The sequence below is a fragment of the Homo sapiens genome, chromosome X, assembly GCF_000001405.40.
Source record: "Homo sapiens chromosome X, GRCh38.p14 Primary Assembly".
In the NCBI taxonomy this organism is placed as follows: domain Eukaryota; kingdom Metazoa; phylum Chordata; class Mammalia; order Primates; family Hominidae; genus Homo; species Homo sapiens.
Genome location: NC_000023.11, coordinates 803,905 through 822,130, shown reverse-complemented (window position 1 = coordinate 822,130; position 18,226 = coordinate 803,905). Strand labels below are relative to the sequence as shown.

Sequence of the window (18,226 nt, the reverse complement as noted above, 5' to 3'; positions counted from 1 at the left end):
TTACTATTATATTTTCTTAATCTTTTAGTGAAATTACAAAATACTTCCCTCTCATTCTCTAAATTGCACTGAGCTATTTATGGTGGGAAATGACCTGAGGAACCGCTGTTGCCTGGCCCTTCTCCGTGTTAAACAGCTTCTTGCCAAATCTCAAGCTAGACCAAGCTTTTCATTCTGCATAGAGGGCCCTTGGGGTTTCCCAGAAAAAAATGCAGACATTTATGGAAAATAATATGGCTTGATTATTCTGGACCGCAATTCTGAATGTATCATAAGAAAAGAAAATTCAATCTTTCAGGATCTTTTTTGTTTTTTGTTTTTACTGCAATTGGACTACGAGGATAAGCATTTTTTGCATTGTTACGAACTGTTTTATGTCCACTGGGGACGAATTATGTATAACATGGGAATGGAGGCTAAGACCATGTTGTACAAACATTCCAGATAGGAGGTATTTGCCAAGTCTCTGCCTGGGATGATGAGGTTTTTCTTTGCATTGGAGACATTCTGCAGCCCACACTGATACAAAAATGCATTTTCAATGTTGAAGTGATCCATTTGCCATCCCTGGACTTGCAGAGAGGAAGCTGACACAGGCGGCAGCCCCCTGACGTCTTATGGACTCCAAGACTTAGCAGGGACGTGCAGGGCTGTGAAGTCCAACGTCTGACCCTTGCTTGGAACCTGCCTTTGGTTTTCTCTGGGTGGGACACAGGGGTCTCTGGGGTATGTCCAACGGAAGGAAACTCGCCTTCTCATTAAACCCTGTCTCTACTAAAATACATTTCACCCTGGTCATTAAAAGCCATTTCACCCTCACACAACTCTGGCATTGAGACATCTCTTCTTCCATATTGACCTGAAATTGGGCTCCCCAGGTGCATCATGCTTTGCTTTGGCATATTAGAATGGGTCTTTCTCATGGTAGACTTGATTTTCTGTCCTTGCGATGGTTTGCTGAGAATGATGGTTTCCAGCTTCATCCATGAGATCTCAGAATGTGATGATGCATGCCTTCAAATATTTTTAAAAAATTGAAAGATTATGGGATAAGGGCTGGGCGCAGTGGCTTATGCCTGTCATCCCAGCACTTTGGGAGGCCGAGGCGGGCGGATCACCTGAGGTCAGGAGTTCGAGACCAGCCTGGCCAACATGGTGAAACCCCGTCCCTACTAAAAACACAAAAATTGGCCGGGTGTGGTGGCGGGCGCCTGTAATCCCAGCTACTCGGGAGGCTGAGGCAGGAGAATCGCTTGAACCAGGGAGGTGGAGGTTGCAGGGAGCCAAGATCGTGCCACTGCACTCCAGCCTGGGCGACAGAATGAGAGTCCGTCTCAAAAGCAAAAGAAGTCAGCTTGGACCTAAGTCAAGGTGGACGGTCTCAACACAGGTAACCCAGTTATGATGAGTCTGTTACACCTGCTATTACAGCAGCGTGTGGAGAGAGACTTTTCCTCCCACAGACACCCAAGGAACGGCCCCAGGTGTCCCAAACAACCTTCGTACCCCAGCTGCCCAGAGCCATCTCTTAGCAATCCCTGCTTGCCTTGCTTTGTTTGCAAACCCCACAACCAGCAGCGCAGCAAATCGGGGTTCCCATAAGGCTCCCACAACCTCCCTGTGTGCCTCTCTAACGGCTCACATGAAACTGCACAGACCAGGTCTCCTGTTTCATGTTTCCAACGGACGTCTCATCCGGGGGCCGAGGCTGTGCTTTAATCACTCCTAATACGATAAAGTGGCACTTGGAAATATGATTAACCTCATCTGTCTAGATTTGGGGCTAATAGACCATCCCTGGCACATTGTCTTGTACCTGGCAGTTATGCATATACTTATTTATTAGTCTACTCCTCCACGGAAGGGGGAAAAAATACATTCTAAAGGAAGACGCACAGCAGCCCCCTCGTACGTGGCTGCAAGGTGAGGAGGGCAGTAATTAAATGTCAGGCTTGACAGATTAAAATTATGAAATTTAAAATCACCGCGGAGCTCTTTGTCATTGTCAAATTAGAAGTCAGGGAGATGAGGAGTCGGTGGAGGGAGCCGCGTAATGGATTGAATGGGAATGGGGTACAGCAGGCAGTTTGGCTGAATCCACATCAGCCCGGAGTTCAGATCAGAAGCGGTGGGTAAGTGGGGTGCAGCGGGGTGAGCTGCAGCCTCCAGCGTTGGAAACAGGAGCCTATATATCCACCCGGGGACCAGGAGGATTCTTTTGCCTTGAAAGACGGGCAAAAGGTACAGTCCCTACCAGGATGATGTGTAGACGCAGATGGACAAGGGGCAAACCCCCCTGTCTCCGTTTACAAGGGAGTGTGGAGAGCAGGTTTCACAGCATCTTACAGTAACAATGTCATATCCCGATTTTGATTCCATACCATTCAATACCCCTGCTATGGAACCAGGCATAACCGTAACGCTAAATATCCCGATCGGCTATTTAAAAGGACAAACCGAAGCCTGGGCAACACAGTGAGACCCCGTCTCTACCTGAAAGAAAAAAAAAATTAGCCAGGCACAGTGGCTGACACCTGTAATCCCAGCACTTTGGGAGGCCTGAGGCAGGAGGATTGCTTGAGCCCGGGAGTTCGAGACCAACCTGGGTACCATAGTGAAACCTCAATGTTAAAATTATCATAAAATTAGCCAGGAGTGGTATAAATTATAATTATAATTTATTATTATAATTATAATATAATTTTATTATATAAAATATATAATATAATTTATAAATATAATTATAAAATTATTATAATTATAATTATAATTATTATCAAATTATTATAATGATTATAATTGTAAAATTATTATAAATTATAATTATAACATTATTATAATTATAACAATAATAATTATAATTATAACATTATTATTAATTATAATTATAATGATTATAAAATTATTATAAAATCTCGGCTCAATGCAACCTCTGTCTCCCTGTTTCAATTAGCCAGGAGTGGTGCATGCCTGTAATCCCAGCTACTCAGGAGGCTGAGGCAGGAGAATTGCTTGAACCCAGGAGGTGGAGGCTGCAGTGAGTCAAGGTTGTGCCACTGCACTCCAGCCTGGGCGACAGAGCAAGACTCCGTCTCAAATAAATAAATAAATAAACATCACACCTGTAATCCCAGCACTTTGGGAGGCCTGAGGCAGGAGGATTGCTTGAGCCAGGGAGTTCGAGACCAGCCTGGGTACCATACTGAAACCTCAATGTTAAAATTATTATAAAATTAGCCAGGAGTGGTATAAATTATAATTTATAATTATAATTATAATATAATTTTATTATATAAAATATATAATTTATAAATATAATTATAAAATTATTATAAATTATAATTATAATTATAATAAAATTATAAATATTATTATAAATTATAATTATAATTATAATAAAATTATAAATATTATTATAAATTATAATTATAATAAAATTATAAATATAATTATAATTATAACATTATTATAATTAGAATTATAATTATAACATTATTATAACTATAATTATAACATTATTATAACTATAATTATAACATTATGATTATAATTATAACATTATTATAATTATAATTATAACATTATTATAATTATAATTATAACATTATTATAATTATAATTATAACATTATTATAATTATAACATTATTATAATTATAATTATAATTATAACATTATTATAATTATAACATTATTATAATTATAATTATAATTATAACATTATTATAATTATAATTATAATTATAATTATAACATTATTATAATTATAATTATAATTATAATTATAACATTATTATAATTATAATTATAATTATAATTATAACATTATTATAATTATAATTATAATTATAACATTATTATAATTATAATAATAATAATTATGATTATAACATTATGCTAAATTATAATTATAATAATTATAAAATTATTATAAAATCTCGGGTCACTGCAACCTGTGTCTCCCAGTTTCAATTAGCCAGGAGTGGTGCGTGCCTGTAATCCCAGCTACTCAGGAGGCTGAGATGGGAGGATTGCTTCACCCCAGGAATTTGAGGCTGCAATGAGCCGTGATCGAGCCACTGCACTCCAGCCCGGGGGACAGAGTAAGACCTTGTCTCAAACAAAATAGAATGAAATAAAAATAAAATTAAATAATGAAATAAAATACTAATACAATCAAAGATAAAATAAATAAATAAAATAATACATTAAATAAAATGTTAATAAAATAAAATATGAAATAAATAAATGAAATGAAATAAAAGAACCAGCCCAGGTGGGTGGCTGGTAGCACCTGTTCCGAAAGATTCTGGACATGCTAAACTTTCTAGGCGTTGATTTATAAAATAGGCATCATCCACCGGGCGTGGTGGCTCATGGCTGTCATCCCAGCACTTTGGGAGGCCGAGGCGGGTGGATCACTTGAGGTCGGGAGTTCGAGACCAGCCTGGCCAACATGGTGAAACCCCATCTCTACTAAAAATAGAAAAATTAGCCGGGCGTGGTGGCGGGTGCCTGTAATTCCAGCTACTCGGGAGGCTGAGGCAGGAGAATCACTTGAACCTGGGAGGCGGAGGTTGCAGTGAGCCAAGATCACACCATCACACTGCAGCCTGGGAGACAGAGCGAGACTCATCTCAAATAAATAAACAAAAATAAAAATAAAGGCTGGACGTGGTGGCTCATGCCTGTAATCTCAGCAATTTGGGAGGCCAAGGCAGGCAGATCAGCAGGTTGGGAGTTCAAAACCAGCCTGGCCTACATGGTGAAACCCTGTCTCTACTAAAAACACAAAAATTAGCTGGGCGTGGTGCCGGGTGCCTGTCATCCCAGCTACTCTGGAGGCTGAGGCAGGAGAATCGTTTGAACCCGGGAGACAGAGATTGCAGTGAGTCACGATCGTGCCATTGCACTCCAGCCTGGGTGACAGCACGAGACTCCATCTCAAATAAATAAATAAATATAAAAAAAGTAAAACAGACATCAACAGCCTCTTGGGGAGACCCCGAGGCAGTGCCGCCGTGCACGGTTCAACATCACAAGATTCAGGCTATGCTGTAGTTAATGTCCCCACCACAAAGGTAAGTACCTCGAGCCCCTCATCCCTCTGGCGATGAAGCCCCCCAGTCCCACCTCTCCCAGTAACGAGATGGGAGCGTCTCTCACGCTCATCGGCCAATACAGGTGCAAGATACGCGGAACCCGCTTGAGAATAATTCAGCAGCTTTAACAGGTGAAATATCACTTTCTTTCCAGAAGAGCTTTCGGATTAAAGGAAAACCGAACCGGGAAACCCAAAGTCTCCCTGTAGTTGTGTGTACAAATAGCCCTGAGCCCAAGGACTGGAGATTCTATTTATTTATTATTTATTTATTTTATGTTATTTTTTATTTTGAGATGGAGTCTCTCACTGTCTCCCAGGCTGCAGTGCAATGGCACAACCTCGGCTCACTGCAACCTCCCCGCCTCCCGGGTTCAAGCCATTTTTCCGCCTCAGCCTCCCAAGCAGCTGGGATTACAGGCGTGCACGGCCACACCCGGCTAATTGTTTTGTATTTTTTAGTAGAGACGGGGGTTTCACTACGTTGGCCAGACTGGTCTCGAACTCCTGACCTCGGGATCTGCCCGCCTCAGCCTCCCAAAAGTGCTGGGATTACAGGTGTGGTGTTTATTTATTTATTTATTTGAGATGGAGACTCGCTCTGTCGCCCAGGCTGGAGTGCAGTGGCGCAACCTTGGCTCACCACAGCCTCCTCCTCCTGGGTTCAAGCAATTCTCCTGCCTCAGCCTCCCGAGTAGCTGGGATGACAGGCACATGCACCACCGCTCTTTGTGCTCTGGTATTTCTTTGAGTCTGTTTTTAGTTATTTTGGGTGCACACAGCCAGGAGTGAGATCATGCGATCGTAGGATAAGTCTATGTTTCATTTTTTGGTGAGGTGCATGCCATTTCCCACAGCGGCTGTGCCATTTTACCCTCCAGCAGTAGACAGGACTTCCAGTTTCTCCACATTCTCATCAACGCTTGCTAATATTGCCTCAACTATCCTTCTTGCCATCCTCGTGGGTGTGAGGCCGTCTCTCAACGCGGTTTTGACGTCAGTAATGGTAAGTGATGCTGGGCATCTCTGCATGCCCTTCTTGGCCATTTCTTTATCTTCTTTTGGAGAAATGTCTATTTTAGTTCTTTGCCTACTTTTTAATTGGGTTGTTTGTCCTTTTGATGTTGAGGGGTTTTGTTTGTTTGTTTTTGTTTCTTTGTTTGTTTTCTTTGAGATGGAGTCTCGCTCCATCGCCCAGGCTGGAGTGCAGTGGTGCGATCTCCACTCACTGCAACCTCCGCCTCCCAGGTTCAAGTGGTTTTCCTGCCTCAGCCTCCCGAGTAGCTCGGATTACAGGCGCCCGCCACCATGCCTGGCTAATTATTGTATTTTTAGTAGAGTCGGGATTTCACCATGCTGGCCAGGCTGGTCTCGAACTCCTGACCTCAGGTGATCCTCCCGCCTCAGCCTCCAAAAGTGCTGGGATTATAGGAGTGAGCCACAGCGCCCAGCCTTGCTGTTGAGTTTTAATAGATCCTTTTAAGCTTAGCTTTTGACCTTCCAGAGTAATTCTCTGTTCGTAGAAGATTTGTTTTTCTTCTACTGTAGCCGCTTCAGGGCCTCTGTCAAAAGACCAAAAACAAAAAAAAAAAAATGCAAGTTCATAAATTCCTGGAGCTGGAAGCCCATTTGAGGTTTGTAGTCCAAACCCTTCACTTCAGGGCATCAGAGGTTGGAGTAAATGCAATCAAACAGAGCCCAAAGCAACGTGGAAGAAACTGCCTGTTTAATTTCTGCTTTCTTCTCTCTTCCAGCAAATGAAAATTCCCTTTCTGTGATAATTACAAGAATCAGCTGTCACTCTCTGTATTAGCTTAAAGTGTCCCCTAAAACACACCGTTGCCAGGACACTATTTGTAACCTTAATTAAAAATAAGGTGTTTACAGACACGTTAAATTCAGGATTTCAAGTTGAGAGTGTCCTGAATTAGATGGACTCTGCCGTCATTTCTATGTGGCCTCCTCCTCTGTGTCTGTGTCTCCTCCTCTGTCTCCTACAGGGATGCTTGTTATTGGAATTAGAGCCCACCCTAATCCAAGACGATTTCCTCTCAAGATCCTTAACTAATTATATGTGCAAAGACCCTATTTCCAAATGCGATCTCATTCCAGGTCCTGGGAGTTAGGACATGAATACGTCTTTCCGACAGCCACTGTTCAATCCATTACAATTGTATCCAGTTCCTTCTGGAGGCCCCAGGGGAGGGTCCTTCCTGCCTCTCCCAGCTCCTGGGGGCTCCAGGCATCCCTCGGCTTGTGGCCGCATCACTCCAGTCTCTGCCTCCGTCTCCTTGTGGCCTTCTCCTCTGTGTCTGTGTCTCCTCCTCTGTCTCCTACAGGGATGCTTGTTATTGGAATTAGAGCCCACCCTAATCCAAGACGATTTCCTCTCAAGATCCTTAACTAATTATATGTGCAAAGACCCTATTTCCAAATGCGATCTCATTCCAGGTCCTGGGAGTTAGGACATGAATACGTCTTTCCGACAGCCACTGTTCAATCCATTACAATTGTATCCAGTTCCTTCTGGAGGCCCCAGGGGAGGGTCCTTCCTGCCTCTCCCAGCTCCTGGGGGCTCCAGGCATCCCTCGGCTTGTGGACGCATCACTCCAGTCTCTGCCTCCGTCTCCTTGTGGCCTTCTCCTCTGTGTCTGTGTCTCCTCCTCTGTCTCCTACAGGGATGCTTGTTATTGGAATTAGAGCCCACCCTAATCCAAGACGATTTCCTCTCAAGATCCTTAACTAATTATATGTGCAAAGACCCTATTTCCAAATGCGATCTCATTCCAGGTTCTGGGGGTTAGGACATGAACGTGTCTATCTCATGGCCACTGTTCAATCCATTACAACTCTGTCTAGTTCCTTCTGGAGGCTCTAGTGGAGGATCCTTTCTGCCTTTCCCAGCTCCTGGGGGCTCCAGGCGTCCCTGGGCTTGTGGCCGCATCACTCCAGTCTCTGCCTCCGTCTCCACGTGGCCTTCTCCTCTGTGTCTGTGTCTCTTCTTCTGTCTCCCAGAAGGACACCTGCCATTGGATGTAGAGTCCACCCAGATAATCCAGGATAATTCTTCATCTCAAGATTCTTCATTCATCATGTCTGCAAAGACGCTTTTTACCACGTAAGTGAACATTCTCTGCTTCTTAGGGATTAGGACAAGGATCTATTTCTCCAGGTCATCAACATTCAGCCTACTTCAGTGGCCAACCAAGATGGTGCCTTCAGGAGATGGTGGAAGAAAGAGTTTGGCTTTGATGGGTCAAACACTCAGAGAAGGCAACGTTGTCATCAGCTGGAAAAGAGAGGTTTAGAATTCAGATGTGGTTCCTGCTGTTGAAGACTCCTTGAAAAAAAAAATACTAAGAAAATTTTTTAAAAAGCACTTCGGGAGGTCGAGGCAGGTGAATCACCTGAGGTCAGGAGTTCGAGACCAGCCTGGTCAACATGGCAAAACCCCATCTCTAATAAAAATACAAAAATTAGCCAGGCATGGTGGCAGGCGCCTGTAATCCCCACTACTCAAGAAGCTGAAGCAGGAAAATTGCATGAACCCGGAGGCAGAGGTTGCAGTGAGCTGAGATCACACCATTGCACTCCAGCTTGGGTGAAAGAGCAAGACTCCATCTCAAAAAAAAAAAAAAAGAAAGAAAGAAAAAAGAAATCAGATGTTGGGAGCAGGCTAGAGAAAGACCCCAAGTTTTCTCTCTGAGCCATTTTGTACATCTGTCTTACAATCCTGCAGTCTCTTATCAATGAAATCCATGCATCTTCTCCACCCAGCCAGGGTATTGTCTGGGACTCTGTATTCCAGTTTCACTGGTTCTCCTCTCTTTGGTCTTCATGACATCTTATATTTTATCTTAGCTCTGAGAGCCAGCCCATGGCTTCGTTTTCAGAGGTTCACTCCCTTCAACAGACAACCATATCCATTGCACCAACGAACACCCAAAGTGAAGTCAAATTCTTCAACTTTTCATTCTCTACTAATATGTGAAAGTAAAGGCAGGGACAAGACACAGGAGAATATCTCAGCTATAGGAAAACCTCTGAGCAGAAGAGTTCACCTACTGAAGACCACCATTTCAGTGCACTTTCATCTTTTTATCAAAGTCCTGGTAATAGAGCGGCCCAACAGTGAAGAGCTGTTGGCTGAGTTTTAATCCCCGTGTGTGCTTGAAAATGTCTGAGCTAATTTACATGCTTTTCAAACTCGCATGGATTTCTGTCTCAACCCTATCCCAGTGAATCAGAATTTGTGGTTTTTTAATCTCACAAAGATGACTAAGAATGGGTTCGAATGAATTATGTTGTGGGGTTTTTGTTTGTTTGTTTGTTTGTTTTGCTTGTTGAGACAAACTCTCACACTGTCCCCCAGGCTGGAGTGCAGTGGCATGATCTCAGCTCACTGCAACCTCCGCCTCCCAGGTTCAAGCGATTCTCCTGCCTCAGCCTCCCGGGTACCTGAGATTACAGGTGCGCACCAGCACACTCAGCTAATTTTTGTACTTTTAGTAGAGACGGGGTTTCACCATGTTGGTGAGGCTGGTCTCAAACTCCTGACCTCAGGTGATCCTCCCACCTCAGCCTCCAAAGTGCTGGGATGACAGGCATGAGCCACGTCACCCAGCTTGTATGCTGCGTTTTTAACCTGGGCTCATCCTAAAACTGATTTTCGAGTTGTTTTCTTTCTTGGTCATTTTCTACATCTGTGCTTTGCATTTTATGAGTTTCTTTAGTGAGGCCCCAAATCCAAGACTGCTCGTGAAAATAGAGTAGGTAGTCTCCAACCTCTCAGGTTAAATTGCTAAACTCTCCACTAGAGAACCAGGAGTATATTTATTTCCTTGCTGACTCTGTCCTGAGGATGGGTGTGTCCACCCCACCGACTCTCACCCCCTCCAGTCATGAAACTGAAGAGAAACACCATGATTTTGAGACTCATCCAAGAGGAATTCAGTATTAGGTTGAGATAGAAATGTCCCTTGAGATGCAGAAATATACCAAAGAGCCAGAGGCAAACTTTCTCCCCAAGAACCATTTGCAAAGAGGCCTCCTTCTGGAAGAAGGAGGACAAAATTCGTGCCTTCCCTCAGGCTGGTCCCCAGAATCAGCAGATGCCACGTCCTGGAAAACAATCATTGTGTTGTTGACCCAAATCTCAACTTAAGTTTCAGCATCCCCAGGGGTAAGGTCCTAGTGCATTCTACTAAATGTAGGGAATTTTTTCATGAAGGTCTATCTATCTGTCTATCTATCTATCTATCTATCTATCTATCTATCTATCTATCTATCATCTATCTATTGATCGATCTATCCATCCATCCATCCATCCATCCATCCATCCATCCATCCATCATGTCTATCTAGTATCTATCTGTTCATCTATCCATGTATCTATCTGTTCATCCACCATCACATCTATGTATCTATCTATTCATCCACTCATATCCTATTATCTATCTATCATCTATCTGTCTATTCATCCACTCATATCCTATTATCTATCATCTATCTATCTATCTACCTATCTATCAATCTATGTGTCTATCTATCTACCTATGTAGCCATCCACCCATCTATTATCTACGTATTCATACATTCACATCCTATTATCTATCATTTGTCTATTCATTCACTAACATTCTATCATCTATCATTTATCTATTCATCCACTCACATTCTATCATCTGTATATCTATCTTTTATCCATTACATCCTATTATCTATGTATCTATTTATGTATCTATCTTATCTATATATTATCTATCTATCTATCATCTATCAATTCATCCACTCACATTCTATCATCTTTCTGTCTATCTATCTATTAATAACTATCCATCTATTCATCTATCATCTGTCTACTATCTGTCATATCTATTAAAAGAAATCCATATATCATCTCTCTATCTATTGATCAATCTATCAATCTATTCATCCATCCATCTATCCATCCACCCATCACATCTGTCTAGTATCTATCTATTCACCTATCCATATATCTATCTATCTGTTCATCCACCTATCCACCCACCATCACATCTATCTATCCATCTATCTATTCATCCACTAACATCCTATCATCTGTTTATCTATCTATTCATCCACTCATATCCTATTATCTATCCATCCATCCATCTGTTATCTGTCTATTCATACATTCACATCCTTTTATCTATCTTTTATCTATTCATCCACGCACATTCTATCATCTGTGCCTCTATCTTTTATCCATTACATCCTATCATGTATTTATGTATGTATATATGTACGTATGTATGTATCTATCTATCATCTATCTATTCATCTACTCACATTCCATCATCTGCCTATCTGTCTATCTAATCTACATCTATCTACTACCTTCCTATCATCTACCTATTATCTGTCTATCTATCACCTATAGCTACCATCTATCTACTCTCTTTCATCTATCTATTTATCATCTACCTATTATCTATTTAGCTATGATCTAACTATCTTGCTACCCTTCTCATTCTTCGGTGAGTCCCCATAGAATCCCCTGTCCCCAAGAATCCTGGGGCATCATTGCAGCCAGGACAGGAGAGCCCCCGGAACGTTTAGAGTGGGGATGGTGGCCAAGGTGAGCAAGGAGCCTGAGGAAGAACTTACTGAGTGGTTGACCAGAAGACCGAACAATCAGTGTCAGCCCCTGAGGGATGCTTGGGATCCTGGGGCCATGCACGCACCCAGCCTTGATGGTTAGAGGTCAAGAGCCACTGAGAGAGTGTCTGTGTGTCTATATGTGTGTGCTCCAAAAAGGCAGGCATGCACCCTTCTCTACTGACAGATCCCAGCACTAACATACAACATCCAAGAGAAAGCTCATCCGCTTCAGTTCTTGGGGAAGAGGGAATGAAATGCCCGGTCATTGGTCCAATGAAGCTCTGGGACATGGGAATAGAACTGGCTCAAACTGGCAGGATGTGGTGGTGCATGCCTGTCATCCCAGCACTTTGGGAGGCTGAAGCAGGAGATCCTCTGAGTGTGAGACCAGACTGGGCAATGTAGCAAGACCCCACCTCTACAAAAAGTAAAAAATAAAAAATTAGCTGACTGTGGTGGCACAAGCCTGTAGTCCCAGCTACCCAGGAGGCTGAGGCAGGAGGACTGCTTGAGCCTGTGAGTTTGAGACCAGACTGGGCAATGTAGCAAGACCCCACCTCTACAAAAAGTAAAAAATAAAAAATTAGCTGACTTTGGTGGCACACTCCTGTAGTCCCAGCTACCCAGGAGGCTGAGGCAGGAGGACTGCTTGAGCCCAGGAGATTGAGGCTGCAGTGAGTTATAATTGCACCATTGCACTGTTGCCTGGGCAGCCTAGCCAGACCCTGTTTCAAAAATTTCTAAAAAAGCACTCTCCCAAATGGACAGCAAGAGGCTGGCACCTGTGTATACCCAGTTACAAAAGACTCTCTCTTTCCGAGATTTTTTTCCAACATCCAAACATACTCTCTCCACTGTATACCATCTTTTAATACGAAGAGAAGCTCGTTTGTATAAAATTAAAGTATATCATCGTGCAATAAACTTGTAAAACAAGAGCTCCTCTGTTCCTTGGGAGTTCAAACAAGCGGGGTCATCCGTACAGCCACATACTTTTAAATTTTGGTGGTCAAACTGTAAGTTTGCTTTCTGGGTGTGGGAGGCTGTGGGTGCCAGGAACTGCTGCTAATAAGGGGTAGTGGCCACGTCGAAGATGGCTGGTTAGATGGCTGGCGAGGGCCCTGCACAGATAGCAGATTCATTTCATTCGCGCTTAAATTGCCTTCTAAACAGGCAGAAACCTATGATTTAGCAAACAAAAATCACCATCCTCATCAGCATCGTAGGGCTGCGGTAGCAAAGTCCAATGCACAGATGGGTTTAAAACAGCAGGAATATGGCCGGGCGTGGTGGCTTACCCCTGTTATCCCAGCACTTTGGGAGGCCGAGGCGGGCGGATCAGGAGGTCAGGAGTTCGAGACCAGCCTGGCCAACATGGTGAAAACCCATCTCTACTAAAAACACAAAAAATTAGCCAGGCGTGGTGGCAGGCACCTATTAATCCCACATACTCAGGAGGCTGAGGCAGGAGAATCGCTTGAGCCTGGGAGGCAGAGGTTGCAGTGAGCAGAGATCACGCCACTGCACTCCAGCCTGGGTGACAGAAGCGAGACTCCATCTCAAAAAAACAAAACAACAACAACAAAGAATGCACGTGGTGTAAGACCTGATTAAGACCTGAAGTTTAATGTAGGACTGTTGCTAGCTAGTATTTATGATTCCAAAGACGTCTCTGCATATGTGGACCCGGTGAGTCTGTCATTCAAAAAGCCAGATGCGTCTTTTAATACGAAGAGAAGCTCGTTTGTATAAAATTAAAGATCTGGTAAGTCTATCCGTGTAACGTTGATTGCCCTAAGTACATATTTCTTTAATTTCTTGCTAGGCGTAAGTTTTTTATATGAGCTTCCCTATGATGTTTGATTTAGGAAATTGTATTAAAATAGGCGATAAGGATGTCCTCTAAGATTTGCTTGTTATTTTTTTTTACATGTCATTAAAATGATTGATAATTTAGGATACGGCGGGAGAATGTGTAAGATTAAACCTGAGGCCCTCTATAAATTAGAAGGTTTTACATAAGACATGATATGCCAGGCTGTCAAAAGCTACTTCCTACACAGCTTTGAATCTACAGACAAAGAGGTGCAGGGAGGGTGGGTCAGCACAACTAGAGACAGACAGTCAGTGCATCCTTCTGCAGATGGAGGCTCCCAGAGAGGCTGGGATGTGTGGCAGGAGACCCTCTCACCCAGCAAGGGGCCAAAGTGGTGAAACCCCATGTCTACTAAAAATACAAAAATTAGCCAGGCATGGTGGCACATGCCTGTAATCCCAGCTACTTGGGAGACTGAGGCAGGAGAATCACTTGAACCCGGGAGGTGGAGGTTGCAGGGAGCCGAGATCACACCACTGCACTCCAGCCTGGGCGACAGAGAGAGACTCCATCTCAAATAATAATAATACTATTAATATTAATAGTATTATTATAAAGTAAAAACCTTTTCTGTTTTTATTTTACTAATTGATTTATTTTATTTTTAATTTCATTATTTATTTATTATTTATTTATTTTTTATTATACTCATTATTTATTTGTAAGAAAGGAAGAAGGAAAGGAAAAGGGAAGAGAAGAAAGGAAAGAGGGAAGTATGGAAGGAAAGAGAAAGAGGGGAAGGAAGGAAGCAAGGAAGGAAGGAAGATTGGCTCAAGTTATCCTCCCACCTCATCCTCCCAGGTAGCTGGACTACAGGTGTGTGCCACTATTCTGGTTAATATTTGTTTATTGTTTTTGGTAGAGACAGGGTCTCACTGTGTTGTCCCGGCTGGTATTGAACTCCTGGGCTCAAGTGATCCTCCTGCCTCCACCTCCCAAAGTTTTTTTTTTTTTTTTTTTCAGAGTGCAGCCCACACCTCTGTGAAGACTTTGTAGATTTTGAGGTTTATGTATTTGACAGTCTACACCCACCATGTATATCCACCTATTTGTTCAAATAGAAAAAAACTTGAAATCTGGGCAACTGTCTCTAAGGAGAATTATCCGAGGGCATCGGCAATCCTTTCCTTAAATGCTTTGTTTCGTTTCAGATGGAGTTTCGCTCTGTTGCCCAGGCTGGCGTGCAGGAGTATGATCTCGGCTCACTGCAACGTCCACCTCCCAGGTTCAAGCAATTCTCCTGCCTCAGCCTCCCGAGTATCTGGGATTACAGGCACCCGCCACCAGGCGTGGCTAATGTTTGTATTTTTAGTAGAGACGGGGCTTCAGCATGTTGGCCAGGCTGGTCTCGAACTCCTGACTTCAAGTGATCCACCCACCTTGGCCTCCCAAAGTGCTGGGATGACAGGCGTGAGGCACTGCGCTCGGCCCCGTTTCCTTTAACTTTTACAATCCAGACTTACAGTGCAGCTACCGGGAGGATGAGGTGGGAGGATAACTTGAGCCAATCTTCCTTCCTCCATTCCTTCCCTCCTTCTTTCTTTCCTCCCTACTTTCTTTCCTTCCTTATTTCCTTCCTTCCTTCTTTCCTCAGACTTCAGGATAAGCCCACTCTCTCCATGCATCCAGCATTCTTGATTTTTGGATGCTGTGTCTGCAGAGCTGTGGTGGGAGATGGAACTCTGGCCCCAGGAGAAAATGCCCTGTGAGCCGGCAGGCGGGGTCAGCCGGTGTAGACCAGTCTTTGGCCTCCCCCCTTTCTCAAGCCCTCACTGACCGATATTTGCTGGAATATCTCTGTCTCACGCGTCCGTGTGAAGAGACCACCAAACAGGCTTTGTGTGAGCAATACAGCTTTTTAATCACCTGGGTGCAGGCGGGCTGTTTCCAAAAAGAGAGTCAGCAAAGGGTGGTGGGATTATCATTAGTTCTTATAGGTTTGGGGACAGGCGGTGGAGTTATAGGAGCAATGCTTTGGGGACAGGGGATGGATCTCAGAAAGTACATTCTGAAAGGTGGGGAGAATCGCAAAGAACCTTCTTAAGGGTTAGGGAGATTACAAAGAACCCTCTTGAGGGTAGGGGAGATTATAAACAACATTGGTCAGTTACGGTTGGGCAGAAACAAATCACAATGGTGGAATGTCAACAGTGAAGGCAGGAACTGGCCATTTTCACTTCTTTTGTGGATGTTCAGTTGCTTCAGGCCATCCGGATGTATGCGTGCAGGTCACAGGGGATATGATGGCTTAGCTCGGGCTCAGAGGCCTGACACTCTCTATTCCCCATGATCAGCTCAATGAGGACCTCCAACGATACCCAGGTCCCAATCTTTAGAAGCTACGAGCATGTGAGCACTCATAGCAACAGGTGCTTCCAGATGTGATTCAGTTACGGGCAGATGGACAGGTGACCTGGGATTATCCACGTGGGCCGATGGAATCCCAAGGGTCCTTGTGTGATGAAGACAGGCGGAGATTAGGAGACAGAAGAGGAAGAAGGAGAGGAGACGCGTAGCCAGGAGCCAAGGGTTGTGGGTTTCCTGTAGGACCCAGAAAACACCAAAGTACAGATTGTCTCCTGGAACCTGCAGAAGGAACTCAGTCCTGCACACCCGTTCACGGTAGCGCAGAGAGGCTGATTTGGGAGACGTGGCCTCCAGAACCATCATGCATTAAGAGCATTGGCTCTCTCTGAGTAAAGGGTGGCTGCCCTGTAGGTGCTCACAGTGTTTAGAAGAAACATCTGCGGATATTATATCGCAGGGATGGAAATCCGTCCTGGTAGGAAAAATCACTGCCTTTTCTCAGAGCTGGGATTCCTCCCCTGCAAATGGTAACAATAGCAGCTCACTCGCTGGGAGAACAAGTTAATCACCCACAGATAACTCCATCCCCCTCTTTTCCTACCCTAAGCCCTTCCTTCCCTTTTCTTTGTTTATCGTCACTAGCAGGGTTCAGAGTCCTGGCAAAAACAGGGTGTCAGTTGATTAGAGGAGGGTCAGCTTCTCCTCAGCAGCTTGCCGTCAAGAAATTAGCAAACCGGGTAGCTGCAATTCCGTAGAAACCCTCCAAAACGAAGCGGATGTAAAGTGACAAGATCCAATTAAATTTAATTACCCAAGCTGTATTTTCATTTTAACTGACACTTTTTATTAAGGGATCCCGCGCAGGAAAGCTAGCAACCTACAGCAAATTGCATCCCGGTAATACAGTTATCTTAGGCAAAATTCTGAGTATCTAATTTTCTAAAACGAAATTAGAGACAGGGGGTTTTGCAAAAGCTTTTCTTTGTTTCGACTCCGAAACAACGGCTTCTTGGGGGAATCTCTTCACCCTGTATTATATCAGAAGGAGCTTCCCTGCACCCCAGGAAAACGTATCCAGTGACAGTATGACGACGAGGTAACAGCATTATTTGCTTTCACCAGCCCGGTGTTCCAACACGCCGGTGATCACAAACAAACGACTTTCCACCGCATCTTTCTTGAAAGTGACTTTCCTTGAGAGGAAACAGGTGCATTTGAGTGGCAGCACGTTAATGTCACACACACACACACACACACACACACACACACACACACACACACACACAGGGATGAGGTTTCCCTTCCACATTTCCACCCCAATCCTCCTTGTCCTTGCACTAAACACAATACAATTCATTCAAACGGTCTTTTAAGGACAACCGCACATTCAGGCAGCGTTGACGTGACTTTTCAAAGTGGAAGTTGAGGCACTAACAGGCTTGACAAGGGAGATCGAATTGGGAAGGGCTGTCCCTTCCCTGGGACACTGTCCCTGGGGACAGTGAGAAGGAGAAAAAATTCGCAGTTGTGAAAGTTTACAGCTACTCGGGAGGCTGAGGCAGGAGAATCGCGTGAACCCAGGAGACAGAGGTTGCTGTGAGCCAAGATCATGCCACTGCCCTCCAGCCTGGGTGAGAGAAGAGACTCCATCTCAAAAAACACAAAACAAACAAAAGGCCAGGCCCGGTGGCTCACACCTGTAATCCCAGCACTTTGGGAGGCTGAGGTGGGTGGATCATCGGAAGTCAGGAGTTCGAGACCAGCCTGGCCAACAGGGCCAAACCCCGTCTCTACTAAAAAATCCAAAAAAAAAAAAAAAAAAAAAAAGAAATAGCTCGTGGAAAGTGGTTTCTTTTTTCATTTTTATTTTAGATTCGGGGGCACGTGTGCAGGATTGTTATATGGATATATTGTCTGAAGCGGAGGCTTGAGCTTCCATGGAACACATCCCTTAAATAGTGAGCGTAGCATCAGATGGAAAGTCTGTCTTTCTTTTCTTTTCTTTTCTTTCTTTCTTTCTTTCTTTCTTTCTTTCTTTCTTTCTTTCTTTCTTTCTTTCTCACTTGCTTGCTTTCTTACTTGTTTTCTTTCTTTTCTTCTTTCTTTCCTTCTTTCTTTCTTACTTGTTTGCTTTCTTAATTTCTAACTTTCTGTCTTGCTTGCTTGCTTGCTTTCTTACTTTCTTTCTTTTCCTTCTTTCTTTCTTGCTTTATTACTTGCTTGCTTTCTTACTTTCTTTCTTTCTTGCTTGCTTTCTTTCTTACTTGCTTGCTTTCTTAATTTCTTTTTCTTTCTTTCTTGCTTGCTTGCTTTCTTGCT

At 43.6% G+C, this 18,226-nt stretch overlaps 10 annotated features.

The window, feature by feature from the left end:
- Positions 1,631–2,285: an enhancer, noted in NCBI's record as "ECR1 PCR-amplified reporter construct fragment". NCBI's record gives its function as "enhancer in human U2OS osteosarcoma cells" and the evidence as "EXISTENCE:reporter gene assay evidence [ECO:0000049][PMID:22791839]".
- Positions 1,646–2,166: an enhancer, noted in NCBI's record as "CNE7 PCR-amplified transgene fragment". NCBI's record gives its function as "enhancer in zebrafish embryos in day 2 skin, and in day 2 and day 3 brain, fin and cardiovascular system" and the evidence as "EXISTENCE:transgenic organism evidence [ECO:0001131][PMID:21731768]".
- Positions 1,687–2,677: a meiotic recombination region, noted in NCBI's record as "meiotic double-strand break mapped by DNA meiotic recombinase 1 chromatin immunoprecipitation followed by single-stranded DNA enrichment and sequencing on the Y chromosome in the germ cells of some male individuals with the PRDM9 A/A and PRDM9 A/B genotypes". NCBI's record gives the evidence for it as "EXISTENCE:chromatin immunoprecipitation-seq evidence [ECO:0000229][PMID:25395542]".
- Positions 1,687–2,778: a biological region, named in NCBI's record as "SHOX downstream enhancer, distal recombination region". NCBI's record gives its function as "recombination_partner: LOC108251803".
- Positions 1,734–1,843: a conserved region, noted in NCBI's record as "conserved region; CRCNE00011102 more deeply conserved sub-region". NCBI's record gives the evidence for it as "EXISTENCE:sequence alignment evidence [ECO:0000200][PMID:21731768]".
- Positions 1,872–2,778: a meiotic recombination region, noted in NCBI's record as "meiotic double-strand break mapped by DNA meiotic recombinase 1 chromatin immunoprecipitation followed by single-stranded DNA enrichment and sequencing on the X chromosome in the germ cells of some male individuals with the PRDM9 A/A genotype". NCBI's record gives the evidence for it as "EXISTENCE:chromatin immunoprecipitation-seq evidence [ECO:0000229][PMID:25395542]".
- Positions 1,911–2,082: a conserved region, noted in NCBI's record as "conserved region; CRCNE00011101 more deeply conserved sub-region". NCBI's record gives the evidence for it as "EXISTENCE:sequence alignment evidence [ECO:0000200][PMID:21731768]".
- Positions 2,316–2,317: a chromosome breakpoint, noted in NCBI's record as "distal breakpoint sub-region, recombines with the proximal breakpoint sub-region within the SHOX downstream enhancer, proximal recombination region, resulting in a recurrent 47.5 kb deletion". NCBI's record gives the evidence for it as "EXISTENCE:nucleotide sequencing assay evidence [ECO:0000219][PMID:22791839]".
- Positions 16,506–17,002: an enhancer, noted in NCBI's record as "CNE6 PCR-amplified transgene fragment". NCBI's record gives its function as "enhancer in diverse tissues in zebrafish embryos, especially heart and ear at day 2, and muscle, ear, eye and heart at day 3" and the evidence as "EXISTENCE:transgenic organism evidence [ECO:0001131][PMID:21731768]".
- Positions 16,669–16,757: a conserved region, noted in NCBI's record as "conserved region; CRCNE00011100 more deeply conserved sub-region". NCBI's record gives the evidence for it as "EXISTENCE:sequence alignment evidence [ECO:0000200][PMID:21731768]".